This window comes from Homo sapiens, chromosome 15 (genome assembly GCF_000001405.40).
Source record: "Homo sapiens chromosome 15, GRCh38.p14 Primary Assembly".
Taxonomy (NCBI): domain Eukaryota; kingdom Metazoa; phylum Chordata; class Mammalia; order Primates; family Hominidae; genus Homo; species Homo sapiens.
This window is the reverse complement of record NC_000015.10, coordinates 70,896,177-70,910,831: the sequence shown is the minus strand read 5'-3', so window position 1 is coordinate 70,910,831 and position 14,655 is coordinate 70,896,177. Positions and strand designations below refer to the sequence as shown.

The window sequence follows — 14,655 nt, the reverse complement described above, 5'->3', positions numbered from 1 at the left end:
AAAGGACATTCTGACATGTTCTCTACTCTATCCCCAGCACTCATAACAGTGCCTGGTGCCAAGTAGGTACCCAATAAATATTAGTTTAATGAATGAACGAACATACTAACTAAATGAATAAGTTGTACGCACAAGGGTATTCATAATAGGATCCTTTATGACAGAGACAAACTGCATACCACCTAAATGCTTTCTACTGGGACCTGCTCAGTTTGTAAAATGCTTATATTTATTTGAAATTTTTGATATGCCAGATGGGAGCAATGGCAAAAAAAGAACAACAAATTAAGTTCATACAACCCATCTTTATCACCATATATTTATCACCATCTATTTTCGTTGTCCTTGTTTACTGCCTCAAAGAACCACTTCCACCTCTCTGTTTTCAGAACTTGGATCATCCATTGAATAATATACATGTTATCTATATATAGTGTGTATATATGTGATATATATATGTAGTGTGTATGTATATACATACATACTGATCATTACCATGTAAACATAATGCAGACTTAAACTTCATTAATTTCTGTCTCCACTTTATCTCAGTTATATCATTGCCAAATCAAGAATTTTACTACCACAAGCCAATTCAATCCAATTTAATTTATAAAAATATTTCTCATATGCCCACCATGTATCATCGCTATGTAGCTGTAGATCTTCTTCACTCCCTTATCACACACACGCACATACCACACTGCCTTATGACCACCACCTCCTCATCAGTCTCCTCTCACATCATCACCCTGACAGAATCTGTACCCTATTCCTACCTCACTTCATCCAAATCATCAGCATTCTTCCGGACTCACTGGACTCTTTCACTAGCCTTCACCTAGTGCCAGGCATTTAATACTATCCTATCTAGAATTTAAATCTCTCAAATAGCTAAATTAATAGCCCAACCAGATGGGAAAACAGCTACAACTTTCTTTTTTTGTTTGTTTTGTGTGTGTGTGTGTGTGTGTGTGTGTGTGTGTGTGTGTTTGAGATGGAGTCTCGCCCTGTCACCAGGCTGGAGTGCAGTGGCGCAATCTCAGCTCACTGCAACCTCCGCCTCTCAGGTTCAAGTGATTCTCCTGCCTCAGCCTCTCGAGTAGCTGGGACCACAGGTGCGAGCCACTACACCCTGCTAATTGTTGTAGTTTTGGTAGAGACGGGGTTTCACCATGTTGGGCAGGATGGTCTTGATCTCTTGACGTGGTGATCCGCCTGCCTCACCCTCCCAAAGTGCTGGGATTCCAGGCATGAGCCACCGCGCCCAGCCCAGGTACAACTTTCAACACAATTTTTCCTTTGCCTGCTTTGCTCCTGAGATACCTACAACAGTTGCAGAAAATTATAGTACTGTAATCATACAGCTTAGGACAGAGCCATGCTTTCTAATAGCTATTAGAGAAGCCTTTTATTCCATTATTTTATACTTCCAAGTTCACATTCCCTAAAACAGTGGTTCTCAAATTTCTGGATTTATCAGAATCACCCAGAGTGCTTGTAAAAACACTGACTATTTATGAGTTCCTCTTACTCTCCTTTGAACCAGCTTTGTCATCCTGCTGGTTCCTATATTATTGAATTAATTAAAATGCTGGCCTGTGATTACTATTTGTCTGAGAATCATATTTTTAACACCTTGAAAATTATACATCAGGGATAATGGAGATTGTATCACCCCAAAGTTCTCCGATTTGAAGAATCAATGTAGTCTGTTTCTGTCTTTATGAGAAATCCTGAGCACCTTTAAGGCCCTTCAATCAGAGAAACCATCATGTGCAGTATGTATTCCCTCAGAATTCCACCAGGGCCTCACATATTCACTCCCTATCTGTTGTGACTGCAACCACCTTTGCAAAATTGAGAAATCTAACATAACTGACTCCATCTTGCTTCTAATCATACAAGCTAACTGTCTTTGCTCATTCCTGCACATAGGCCAAGCTAACTATGAGAAAAATTTAGTTTACAGTTTAACTTTAAACCAAGGATGATAACAGTCCCTTCCTGAAACTAACCTCATCTTTGTTCAGGAACCAAAAACATCTTCATAAAACTAATGAAAGATGATAAGGTTAGAATTATGTTAGGGGCCTGAATTCTGCTAATACGGAGGCATAATTAAATGATAATCAGTCATTGTTTTCTAACCTACCTTTTTGTAATTGCTTACTGCTCAGGAATCACAGAGCCAATGGTAATAAGGTTTGTGACTTCTCCAATTTCCCCTATAAATAACATTGTTAGTGAAACCTAAGACTAGTGTTTGAGATATTTTTCAGATATATTTTCACATTCTGGTAGACCAACTGACACCACCCAGACTGGTGATTTCTACTCAGGCACTGACTCAGTGCAAGAAGACAGTTTCAACCTCCCTGTGATTCCATCCCCAATCCAACCAATAAGCAGAACCCATATTCCCTAGCCTCCTGCCTGCCAAACAACCCTTGACAATCCTAGTCTCCAACTTCTTAGGGAGGCAGATTTGAGAAATATCTCCTCCTCCATCCTCCTCACTTGACTGCCTTGTGATTATTAAACTCTTACTCAGTTGCAACACCTGCTGTCTCAGTGTATTGGCTTTTCTGTGCAGCAGGCAAGAAGAACCCATTGGGCTATAACATGACTTCTGGTATTCGTTAGCTTTGACACATAGCTGCTTTATGACTCTCACATCAGATTCGGATCGCCCAGGTGAACAGGAAGAAAAACAGCCAAGTCGTTCAATCAGTTAAACCCAAGACCAACCAAACATCTTGCTCTCTTGTTCTCATGAGTTGCCTTTGGCATAAATTCTCTTTCCACCCCCCAACACCTGAAATGACCTAAAAACTTACCCAATTCTAAAGAATTCAGAGGTAAATGAAGGCATCAGTTGACCTAGAAGGCCCCTACTGGTCAGATTAGGTATTGATGTGAGGAATTTGCAGAATCCTAGCCAGTGCCCCCAAATTTGACCATTTTTACGTTAACACCAATGTGACCTGAAAGATTTATTTAAAAAAGAAGTTCTTCCATTGAATAGAAACTGAAACTAGAAAAAGATGAGGCTCACCCATCACCTGAGGCCTCTAGGGATATATCACAGCCTGTCTCCGCAGGCCACATTATGTTACTGATGCCAGGATAAAGACCTCACTACAGGACCTATATGAAGGCTTAGCTTTTCAGGTGTCAGAAACAAATCCTTAAGTGGGAAACTTCAAGGAGTCAAAAGGAAGGAAACAGAGAATCCCAGGTTCTAAGAGTTTTGATCTATAATCCTGGGTGATCAGAAGAAAATGCAGAGAAGTTCTATGCATTAGCCTGTAATGACGAGGGTGGCAGAGGACCTGGAGAGGATAAGCAGGAGATACTGAAGGCAGAACAATTAGAGAATAAGAACTTTGACAGCAATGTGGGGTCGGGAGTTCTTTAGTATCAACGGAAACCTCACATACAGAACCTGAGCAAGGTTCTTTCTTAGCTTTAGAGTAGAAATCTTTGTTGGAGTTGCCTGAACCCAGAGGCATGATTGCCCTGGATTTCCATATATGGTTCCACTGCCTTGGACCAAAAGGCAATGCAGAGCTTTGTAATGTGGGAAGGAGAAAGCTTTCTGAACTTGACCAACAGGAAGCAACAAGTCATTTAACACAAATGCATGAAGAGACAGGGTAGCAGATGTACTTCCCTCTTTACCAGCATCCTCAGCCAGGTTTGCTTAATGTTCACAAAGTACTAACCCAGGACAGATTTCCATCTTCACAGCTCACAGGCCCCTTGCTGTGACAAAGTCAGCTGGCTGGAGGCCACTTGGCATTTGTTTTAGGGCTCAGACTTGCATTTCACTGACACTTGAAAAACATGCAATAGGGGAGAATATGGAAAGTTTTCTTCTGACTCATTTTCTTTTTGATTCAAGAACACTAATAGTTCTAGAACTGTTCCACAGCTATTCCTTTATGTGAAAAATAAAATAAGATTAAAACCAAACAAATAACAAATAAAAAAGATGGAGGAGTAGAAAGAGGAAAAAGACACAGCATTAGATTGCTTTTACTTCACTAAATAATGACATAGTAGAAAGGCATTAAGTCTCTTAGAGTTGAAAGAACAAAAAGACCTTAAATAAAGTCAGAAGCTCAGATAGACTGGTACCTTCAAGGCACAAGTTAACAAAAACAAAAACAACAACTTAATGAGTAAATTCTAAGAAGCCAGAGAAGCTGAAAAGTACAAATAGGAAAATAGAATAGATGGAAAGATGACTTAAAATGGTAGGAACCAGGAGCAGTGCTTAAATACGAGAGAAAGTGATTTTAAATATCACTAAAAATATTAACTCAGGACTAAAAGCAGGGAATAATGATAATGATATTAAAGAATAACTGCAAGCAAGGCAAATAAATCAGTAACTCTGAGGATCAGAAACTAGTAAAGAAATCTCTGGGTGGCTGGGCGCGGTGGCTCACGCCTGTAATCCCAGCACTTTGGGAGGCCAAGGCAGGCGGATCACAAGGTCAAGAAATCGAGACCATCCTGGCCAACATGGTGAAACCCCATCTCTACTAAATATACAAAAATTAGCTGGGCATGGTGGCACGTGCCTATAGTCCCAGCTACTCGGGAGGCTGAGGCAGGACAATCACTTGAACCCGGGAGGCAGAGGTTGCAGTGAGCTGAGATGGCGCCACTGCACTCCAGCCTGGTGACAGTGCGAGACTCCATCTCAAAAAAAAAAAAAAAAAGAAAAAAAAATGGAGGGAGCTCACTCTCTGACCTTCTCCCACCTTTCTCCCCTAAGGCCATAAAAAGAATTCTCTGATCTACCTACCCTACCTTAAATTTAAGATACTTTTCCTAAGCTCACTGTCTGAGCTTCTCTCACCTTTCTCCCCGAGGCCATAAAAAGAATTCTCTGATCTATTTTCCAGATAGATAGAAGTATCTGATCTATCCCTTCCCTTTTTGGATATAGGGCAGGATTCCTCTGGAATGAGGGTCTTATGACGCTCATGGAAGGAAGCAATGGAAGTAAAATACATAATATACCCCAAAAAAGGGAATGAAGACACAGAGACACCAAGAAGAATCTGAACAAATAGGCCTTGCTAAGTTCCCCCAGTTTATTACCATTAGATCATACCTCCTTTTGTCCAATCATACTGTCCACTTGTTATCAAGCCTCAGCCTAAAAATACACAGTTTTCCCTGTTTTGGAGGATATTCATTTATAAGGGCTCTTGTGTCATGTAAAAGTTGTATTAAATAAATTGTTAATGCTTTTCTCTTGTTAATCTGTCTTCGTTATAGAGTGTCGGCCATGAACCTTGAGATGGGTAAGGAAGAGATAATACTTTTTTTTCCTGCAACGAGTAATCCAAGACCCATGCCAGGGTGGGAGGCAGGGAAAGATGGAGGAGGAGAACCTAGCCTGGTTATAATATATATCTAAAGTCTTCATTTGATAATATAAAAATCATTTTTGGATTTTACTATAAAGCCCTTCTTTGTAGGCATTGCAAAAGCTATTCAGTAAAATAGAATGAAAAGTAGTGAATGAATCTCAAAGAAATGAGTCAAGAACTGTATAGTTGCACTACGGAATAGAGTTGTATAAAAGGAACTGGGAAAGTTCATATAGGATGTAATGTTAGATACAAACTGAAACTACTGTCTGAAAAAGAATCAATTTGTGAGATAATCACAAAGTATCGAGTGTCTACCCTCAGTCAAACACTGGGAAGAGTCACAAGTGAAACACATAAGCCTAAAGTGAATACACATGTCTAAAGTAAGTTCTAAGAAAACAAAATCAAGGCCAAAGTCTGCTATTTACTTCCCTATAAGATACAACACTGGAAAGCAATGGAAGTAAAATACATAATAAACGTTATCTGGTGTGACAAATTGTCATACTGAATCTCATGAAACAAATTATGACTGGATCTTAATCCATTCAACTAATTCAAATAATTTTTAAAAAATTTTAGCCTATTCATTTCTTAAGTATTATTCAATTCTAAGTTGTCATCTCCACATTAATCCTACACATAACATTAGGCTACAAAAACTGCTCTACAAAGAATACCTGTTTTTCCCCAACAGAAGGACACGAAGACATCTCAGAGTCGAAAGCCCACTAATTTCTTCAATCTGGTTATCATATAAATCCAACGATATTAACTTCTGTAGATTAGAAATATTTTGTATCCGAGTTATAAAATTGTGTTGAAAGTTCAACAAACGAAGGTGGTCTTCCCCATTGATGATAGGACATACGGTCAGCTTTTGTCTAGAAAAAATGTTAAAAAGTTAATTAGGTTATGATTCAGCCACTTACCTCTTCTTACAAATATTATTAGTAGTATCTTTGTGCTCCCATTCTGTGAGGAGAAAAAAATAAGTTGGACCACTTCCAACCCCCATGAACTAAGCGACCTATATTTAATTGTAAATCATTCACACAAAAAAAGCCAATAGACTTTGACAGGGTTTATTATTAAAATTATGTCTAAGGTCTCATTGTATTTAAAAAACTCGAATATAAGTTATTTCACATGAAATTGACTTAACATGAGAAAACATTCAACATAATTTCCTTTTGTGATAGAGGTTTAAATGGCTGAAGGAATCTTGTCACATAACCAGACAAATGCCCTTGGCATCAATCCACCGATGTAACGATTACCCAGGCAACTAAGTCATCAGAGTTAAAAACATATAAAAATCTCAGAGAATCATAGACTCTTGAGCCAGATGACATCTTCAAAAGAGCAAGAAATTCAGTCATCTAGAGTTCACTTTGATTAAAAAAAAAAATTCAACCTGAGATCCATTAATGGCAAAGTGGTCCTTACTTAACATTTCCTTAGAAACTAAGATTTTAAGTATATGTTTACATGCTCAACACTTTGAACTTTGCAGAACATTTAGAGTGCTACAGGGTAGGATGAAACCTTAAAAATATATGCTTTGAGCTATATTTAAAACAGTAAGCCTCTATTATGCAAAATGTTGTAACATACTACACGTGAAGTAAATAAGTTCAGGGCCCTTTAAGAATTCTAGTAGTAAAATAATAGGGGCAGACATGAGGTCCTGCGTGATTCTACTCTGAGAGGTTAAAATACAGCTCAAGGAAAATACAGCTCTATCTGAGTGTGAACAACTCTAATAGGGAAGTTTATTAGAAATATTCTCTTTCAGTAGAAATCAAGTTAATGAAAGCTTTAAAGAAAATATATCAGAGTGTTACTAGCATAAGTGAAACTATGACAGTGATCAGAATCTTCCTGATAAAGAGAAAAAAGAATGATTCGCAGAAAAAAAAATAACTGAATGTTAATGGCTAACAAATCTATGATGTTTAAAAATATAGATTCTGAAGAAACCTGTTTAAGATAGAGGAAAAGAAAAGGAAATTTTGGGCAATAGTTTAATTATTTTAATGTGTGGTTAATTTTATAATTCATTTCATATATTCAATTATTTTTTCACAGAATATTTAAAATTCACTTCATATATTCAATTATTTTATCACAATATTTTATCCAACTATTTTATCAGAACTGTGATAAATCAATAAATTTAGTATATAAATTATAAATTAATAAATTATAAGTATTCTACCTTAAAATTTGTATCTTTGTGCATCAGCTTTGCAAAAAATTTAAATCATCTCACTTTTCCTGCTTCAGTCTTTTTCTTTTTCTCTTAGTTAAACTTATTGATACCCCCCAACTTCTATTTCATCCAATTCTTGAATCGGTCATCACTAAGACAGGAAAATAAATAACCTCCATCCTCCCTCTTACCTAAACTACCGTAGATTGAAATAAAGTCACTTTCTCTGATTCTAAACACAGTGGTTAAGTCCCAGTGCCAAGGCTCACTTGTATACTGCTTAACCCCACAAACCCCTGTCACTCCAACAAAACAAGCAAGCAAACATACATAATAACTAGAGACCCACTGCCCTCAAGGGGAGTTTCTAGGCCTACAAAACTCCTGAGTTGCTACATCCTACCCCATTACTGATACATCTAACAGACTATGCCTTTGCTTCTGTGTTTCCTTCTTGGTGCTGATAGGCTGCCTTCCTGGTACTCCAGGCCTAACCTAACTCCCAAAACAGCCAGAGCCTAGCTCTTCCAAGTACTACTTCTCAGGGTTGGCTTCTGCCCTTGACCCCTCAGGCTCCTAGCTAAGAAGCTGCACAGCATGGCAGATCTGCCTTTGGAAATCACTGGCACTACCCACTGGCTCTCAGAAATGATACCTGAGTTAGTTCCTTGCTGCTAGCCAACCTTTCTTGACTGCACATCCTGGTTCTTGTCAAATGATGCCTAACTTTATGATATCTTTGTGATTCTGTCATTTTACAACCAACTTTTGAAGCGGAGTCAGTTCTCTCAATCCTGACTTTCTTGATAAGCAAGTCTCTGCCTGATCAAAGTTTGCTTCTCCACCCCAGAGGCCCATGCTGTTAAGGACCCATCTTCACAATTGCCTGAGTCATCCCAAGCTACAAAGGAAGTGCCTAACTTGTTATGTCACAGTCTTACAAATACTGGCTCCTGTTAATGTCAAGTAACATGAAACTGAAGGGCTGAGGTACTATTCTTGGCCAGTCTTTCAAAGATCAAGAGAAAAGTTACCAAAAAAATCCCTCAAAACATTAAAATAATACCATGAAAGTTATAAATATTAGACAGCATTCTCATAAACCACTTATACCGCAAAGATGTCATGAGAGATACTGCCCTTCAGTGTTACTTTTCCTACAAAAGAACATGTTAGAACCTCCAGCAGTTTTTCCCAACTATAAACACAGATAGTTCATTATAATTTGTTGTCAGGTGTGCACTGCTAAGCTAAAGGTATGCAAAACAGAGATGTTGTCTCTGCTGGTTATACCACTGGGGTAGATAGAGATTGGGATCCTTCACCCACCATGCTACTGTGGATAGTTTCTAGATGTAAAGATGGGGATCGAGTTCTAAATATATTCTTCCATTAAAAAAAATTTTATCAAGAGTGTGTTTTGTACCAGGTTCTGTTCTAAATACCAATAATACAGAACTGGACAAAAGTTTCTGTGCTTATGGAACATATATTCTAGTAGGAGACAGACACTAAACATAATAAGTAAATAGTTATTATGTTATAGGGTAATAAATGCTAAGAAGAAAAATAATGAAAGCAGAGAAGGGGGCTAGAGACTTCAGTGTGGAAGGGGTTGCAATTTTGGAGAGGATGGCCAGAGAAAAATCATCCCTGAAATGATGACATTTGAGCAAAGACCTGAAGGCAATAAGCCTAGAGATATGAGAAGGAACAGCATTCCAGGCAGAGGGGATAGTAAGCACCAAATTCCTGAGGTATAATCACTCTTGGTGTATTCAAGGAACAGCAAGGTGGCAGGTATGATTGGAGCAGTGAGTGAAGGAGAGTGTAGGAAGAGATGAAGCCAGTGAAGTAACAGGAAACTAGACTGGATAGGGCCTGGGAAGCTCATGTGAGGATTATACTGTGGTTTTTTTCTATACTACAATCCATTTTTCATCAATGTCATATTTTAGAATTGCTGTAGTACTCTTGTGAAGTATAGTCAAGCTCTTTTATGTTATATAGATATAAAATTCCTCACCATACCTCAGGAAGGAGAAGCAAAAAACTGGTTAAAAAAATTATATCTAAATAGGAGAATTGAATAACTGGGGAACAGGAGGAAGGAGGGAGACTTGCATCTTTCAAGTCTTGTACCACGTCTATGTATTACCTAGTCAAAAAAAAGAAAAGAAAAGAAATTGTCCTCACCTTTCTAGGCTCAACCTGTCTGAGTAAAGAATTTTCTCTTCAGAAGAACGTTGAAGAATAGGAAATGATGACAATGATGAGCTCACCAAATTAATATGATCACCTATTAAAAATGATATACAAATTACTTAATTAAGAAAAACCTTCGAAGTCTGAAACTAAAGTCATCTTATATTTGGAGAATTTTAGCACCATAAATATCTTATCTAGAAAGTATAGTTTCCATAGCTCTCCATATTTGAAATTAATTACTAAGCTGAATTTGTTTCTTTCCTTCTTAAACCTAAACTATGTGTTCCATGTATGCCAAATAATTTTTCCCTTGCCTTACAGATTGGTTGAAAGTACAGAACTAGTCCAGTGCTATCTTCATCCCTTTGTAATCCTGACTCCTTGTCTTAAATTCTAACTGTCTATAACTAAAATGATAGTTCCTCATTACCAGATATATTTGGGCCAGCACTATGACAGCCCTGCTGGATTCTGGATTTTGAAGGTGTCTTAATGGAAGAATCTCCAAATGCTGATAAGGACCTCGTGGCAGTTTTCATTTCCAGCCCATATAGTTCTGTCACATTTGTTGTGGATGAGATGCATAGGAAATACACAAAAAGTAGTTTTGGATAGCAGATGTAAACCTCGCATCATCTCTTTCTTTGTAAGTTCAGCCACTATTAGTAGAGAATATTGCCAAGATACCAAAGTGGATGTCAGTAAATCTAGCATACCGTAGTTAGGGTCCACAAAGTATATGACACCCCTCTAAGGTTTATAGGCTGTTTGTTAGATGGTGTCCTTGCCATTATGTAGCTTTCAATCTAGCAGACTGAAATTAATAAATACACATATGAAATTCATAAATAGAACAACATACATAAATGCAGAATAAAAAGAATACCTATTTGTAAGTTTGCACATAAGTGTGTCTGGTTATTTTTTACTTAATGAAGGTGGTTACAGAGGGGTTTGAGGGGAGGTGAATATTAAGATATTTTCTAAAGAACTAGAAGAATGTAAATGGTCAAGAAGAAACAATGAGAAGTTCCAGAAATGAGGTAAGAATTTGAGTAATGGGTCAAACGTGACAGTTTGAATGCCAGAGGAAATCTACCATATTTTCCTCTATGAAAAGAAAATCTTCTGAAAGCAGCAACTGATGTTGAAATGCCTGAAGGGAGCACTAAGTATAATAGTAAAACAGAACCTGATGTTACCACAGAATTCTGCTGTTGAAACTAACAAAAAGATGAAAACCAAATCTGGAAAGCTAACCTACTCTTTGGGAGGTCACCAGACAATATAATGACAACTTAAAATCAAGTTCTATATAAATCATATTAAAAAGCTATAAGGCAATGGCATTTGCTAGCTACCTCAGGTCTGCAAGGCATAAACTGAAGTATCTCACCCCTAGTTTCTTGAACAAAATAATCAGTGCTCACATCCCACTTTTCTGAATATTACAAAATATCAAGATAATAATGATGTTCTAGAGTATAAGCATTCAGAATTGACATCATATTCACCAATAAACTGATTTTCTGGCATGACCACATGCTAGCAGGATACCTAAAAGCAACCACAAGTCAGTAAATTGATTTGGAAATCAAGTCAAGATGGTTAAAAAAACAAAAACAAAACAAAAACCAGTCTAAAGACTGACTGCAGTCTAAGAATTAACTAGTTAAAGATTAATTGGTCAACTAAAGACAAAAGATTGAAAAACTCCAAGCAGCAGACAACCTCAGTTTCTCTTGTTAGCATTAGTTAGGTTTTCTGAATGATTTTGTTAAGGCTTCAAGGCAATCCTCAATTTTTAAGAGGCAAATTTAAACTTTACAAGACTTGAGATACAGAGGCAATAACCAAAGATTAAATTTACACTCAGTGAATAAAGGAATTTTATCCTTAAACTTTCTAGCTCTTTTAATACACAGAAGTCATAATCACTATCAGCATAATGAACTTACTATCGATGTGATATACTGCTTACAATAAATAGAAAGACATAAGAATGATTAGGGTAAAAGGCCTTAAATCTACCATACAACAAGACCTTCTAAATAACTGGGAACCAGAGAGATCCGCAGTTAAAATATCCACATATATATGTGGGTATACAAATATCCACATATATATGTGGGTATATAAATACCCACAAAAAAACTACATTACTATGTGGCAAAATTTTCATCATAACAGTTTGTTACTGTTTATTTCCTTTTTCTTTCTTTCTTTTTGAGACAGGGTCTTGCTCTGTCACCCAGGCTGGAATTTAGTGTGGCATGATTACCGCTCACTGCAGCCTCAAACTCCCAGGCTCAAGTGATCCTCCTACCTCAGCCTCTCGAATACCTGGGACTACAGGCATGTGCCACCACACCCAGCTAATTTTTGTATTTTTTTTACAGATGGGGTTTCATCATATTACCCATGTTCAAGATGGGGTCTTGAACTCCTGGGCTCAAGCAATCCACCCACCTTGGCCTCCCAAAGTGCTGGGGTTACAGGCATGAGCCATAGCAACCGGCCTGTTATTATTTATTTCTTATATTACTATTTAACTTACCAGATATGTAGCCCTTGTCTTCCCAAATAAATCTACAAGCTCCTTGGGTGATGGACCTCATTTTACATTCTTTATATTCTTGGTAAAATCTAAATTCAGTAGGCAATCAATAGACAAATTAATTGTTTTTCCAGTTTACTAAGATTTAATTGAAAATCTATTTTGCGTGTGTTACTTCTGTTAAAATCTCAATACAAATAGCATCTCAAAGTGTTAAGAAGTATAATGGTCTAAATTTGGTAAGAATGTTCACTGCACTGTATGCTAGATACAGAGATGGCTGGATGGCTGGTTGGAAGTATGACTATATAGATGAAGAGATGGATGCATGGATAGATAAATGAACAGATGGGTGGATGGACAGACAGGTGGATGGATGGACGGCATAGTACATATTGCCATATATGTGTGTCCACTCGGCCATGTCTTTGAGATTGTTTTGGTAACCAAAATCTTAACTCCAGATTTTCAGTGATTTATCATTATCTTAAGAGCAAAGTATTGCCTCTTCCCTTCTACACACACATTTTAAAATTCCTAATTAAGGGATTTAATCAATAAGGTCAGGTTAACTGAAATTTTATTATATAGTAGTTCCTGCAATATATGGCACTTATAAAATCTCAAAGACAGGGGTTAACTCTTAACAATATTCTAAGAAGCCTAAAGAAATCACATATCAAGTTTTAAACTCACTAGCTTAAAGAAAATATCAAGTGTCTTTACTTTTGACTGAGAGTACCACTGGTTAATTTTTGTGGACAGGCTATGATATGTTTGATTAATTTTGAAAAATAAGAAATGGCTGAAATTAATTATAATGATTGGGTATCAAGATACAGTTTATTAGACAGACATCCCTAAACTTTTCCTGATGAGGTGCTACTTACAATTTTTCCAAAATTTTATACCCTTGGAAGTAAAATTTGAGTACAAAAGTCAAGAAAATAAGTTGTGTGGCCTTCTTTGCATGAAACTGCCTGGAACTATGGAGGGAGCACATTGAAAGTAACCAGGTACACATTTAAGACATTTCAAATTAGTATCCTGTCACAGAAACCAATTTTGAATAAATTTTTTAAATGAAAAACCAATTAGGTTTTTTTTCCTAAAGAGTTAATTCATACTGAATGGGTCATTACTTATGTATAAAACTTTATTCATCTCTCAGGTTCACAAAATTCAATACATCCATACTATTTCCTCATTAGCGAATATCTAGTAATACTTTACCACTTAAATAAGTTTGCCTGGCCAGCCGTCCTCAAATCTGTTTACTAACTGCCTACTCTAACTCAAGAAAACCTTAGTGAAAGTACTTAATTTTGATTCATGGTTTCGGGAAAACTTTTAAGATATTGTTACCAAAAATGTCAAGGAAATTGACAATGCAAGCATAAAAACCCTAGTTGAGGCTTCACATCTATAATTCTGTACCTAAAACAGTGATCGGCACACAATACTTGCTTTATAAATAAGTATTGAACTGAATCAAATAAGGCAAAGACAGATGTTTTCCACACTGTGGAACTGCAGTTAGGCTGACGTCATGTCCAGCAATTGGCCAAGACAAGAGTGTAGAATGTAGGAAAGAGAAAAGATATGTCAGATTAGATGGGTCCAAGAAGTAGGTCCAGAAATAAAAAGAGAGAGAAAATTAACCAATATTTTAAATTGCCATATGTTCCCACAGTAATAACATGAACAACCTAGAAAGGCCTATACTGATCAGCCCTCTCATATAAACTCCTAAGAGGTAGAGGCAGTTTTGTATATGTGGATTCAGAAGTGTTTAACATGAGCACATTACAGAAAGCTAATGGCTGTCAGCAACAAACCAAGATTCAAATGTGAAGGAACGTTTTCCTTGATTTGAAAAATATATTTCAGAAATATAACCAGATCATGTGAGGCAGTATTTGTCAAAGGATGACCCACAAACCATATACCTCAGAATCACCTGTGACATTATTAAAATGCACATTTCCAAATCCCGCTCAAGACCTACAAAATCAGAATGGGGAAGATGGAGGGGGAGCACTAAGAATGTGCATTTTTAACAAGATCCCAAGATCCCAAGTGATAGACACTAGAGTTTAAAGCCTTTAATATAAAATCTATAATTATATGTGACAGTAACAGGGAAAGATTGTTTCTTCTCTACTCCTGACTTTACATTCTTTCCTGATTTCCTTAATATTTGTGTTCCCATACTCTTACTCTAATTAGCGACTTCCAAATACTGTTCTAATACAGTATTTGAAACATTCTTTTTCCAT

At 37.0% G+C, this 14,655-nt stretch overlaps 1 protein-coding gene across 5 annotated transcripts in view; it reads right to left on the bottom strand.

Annotated features, from left to right (window-relative positions):
- Positions 1 to 14,655, bottom strand: part of LRRC49 (leucine rich repeat containing 49) — a 200,281-nt gene that overhangs the window by 142,827 nt on the left and 42,799 nt on the right. For 3 of the 5 annotated variants that reach the window (NM_001284357.2, NM_001199017.3, NM_017691.5), the window contains 2 exons: positions 9,808 to 9,910; positions 6,077 to 6,280 (listed from right to left, as the gene is read on the bottom strand). In NM_001284357.2, coding sequence (NP_001271286.1) covers positions 6,077 to 6,280; positions 9,808 to 9,910 — 307 coding nt within the window. Of the gene's footprint in view, positions 1 to 6,076; positions 6,281 to 9,807; positions 9,911 to 12,376; positions 12,466 to 14,655 lie in introns of all 5 variants that reach the window. The other 2 variants (NM_001199018.3, NM_001363732.2) reach the window with 2 other exon arrangements.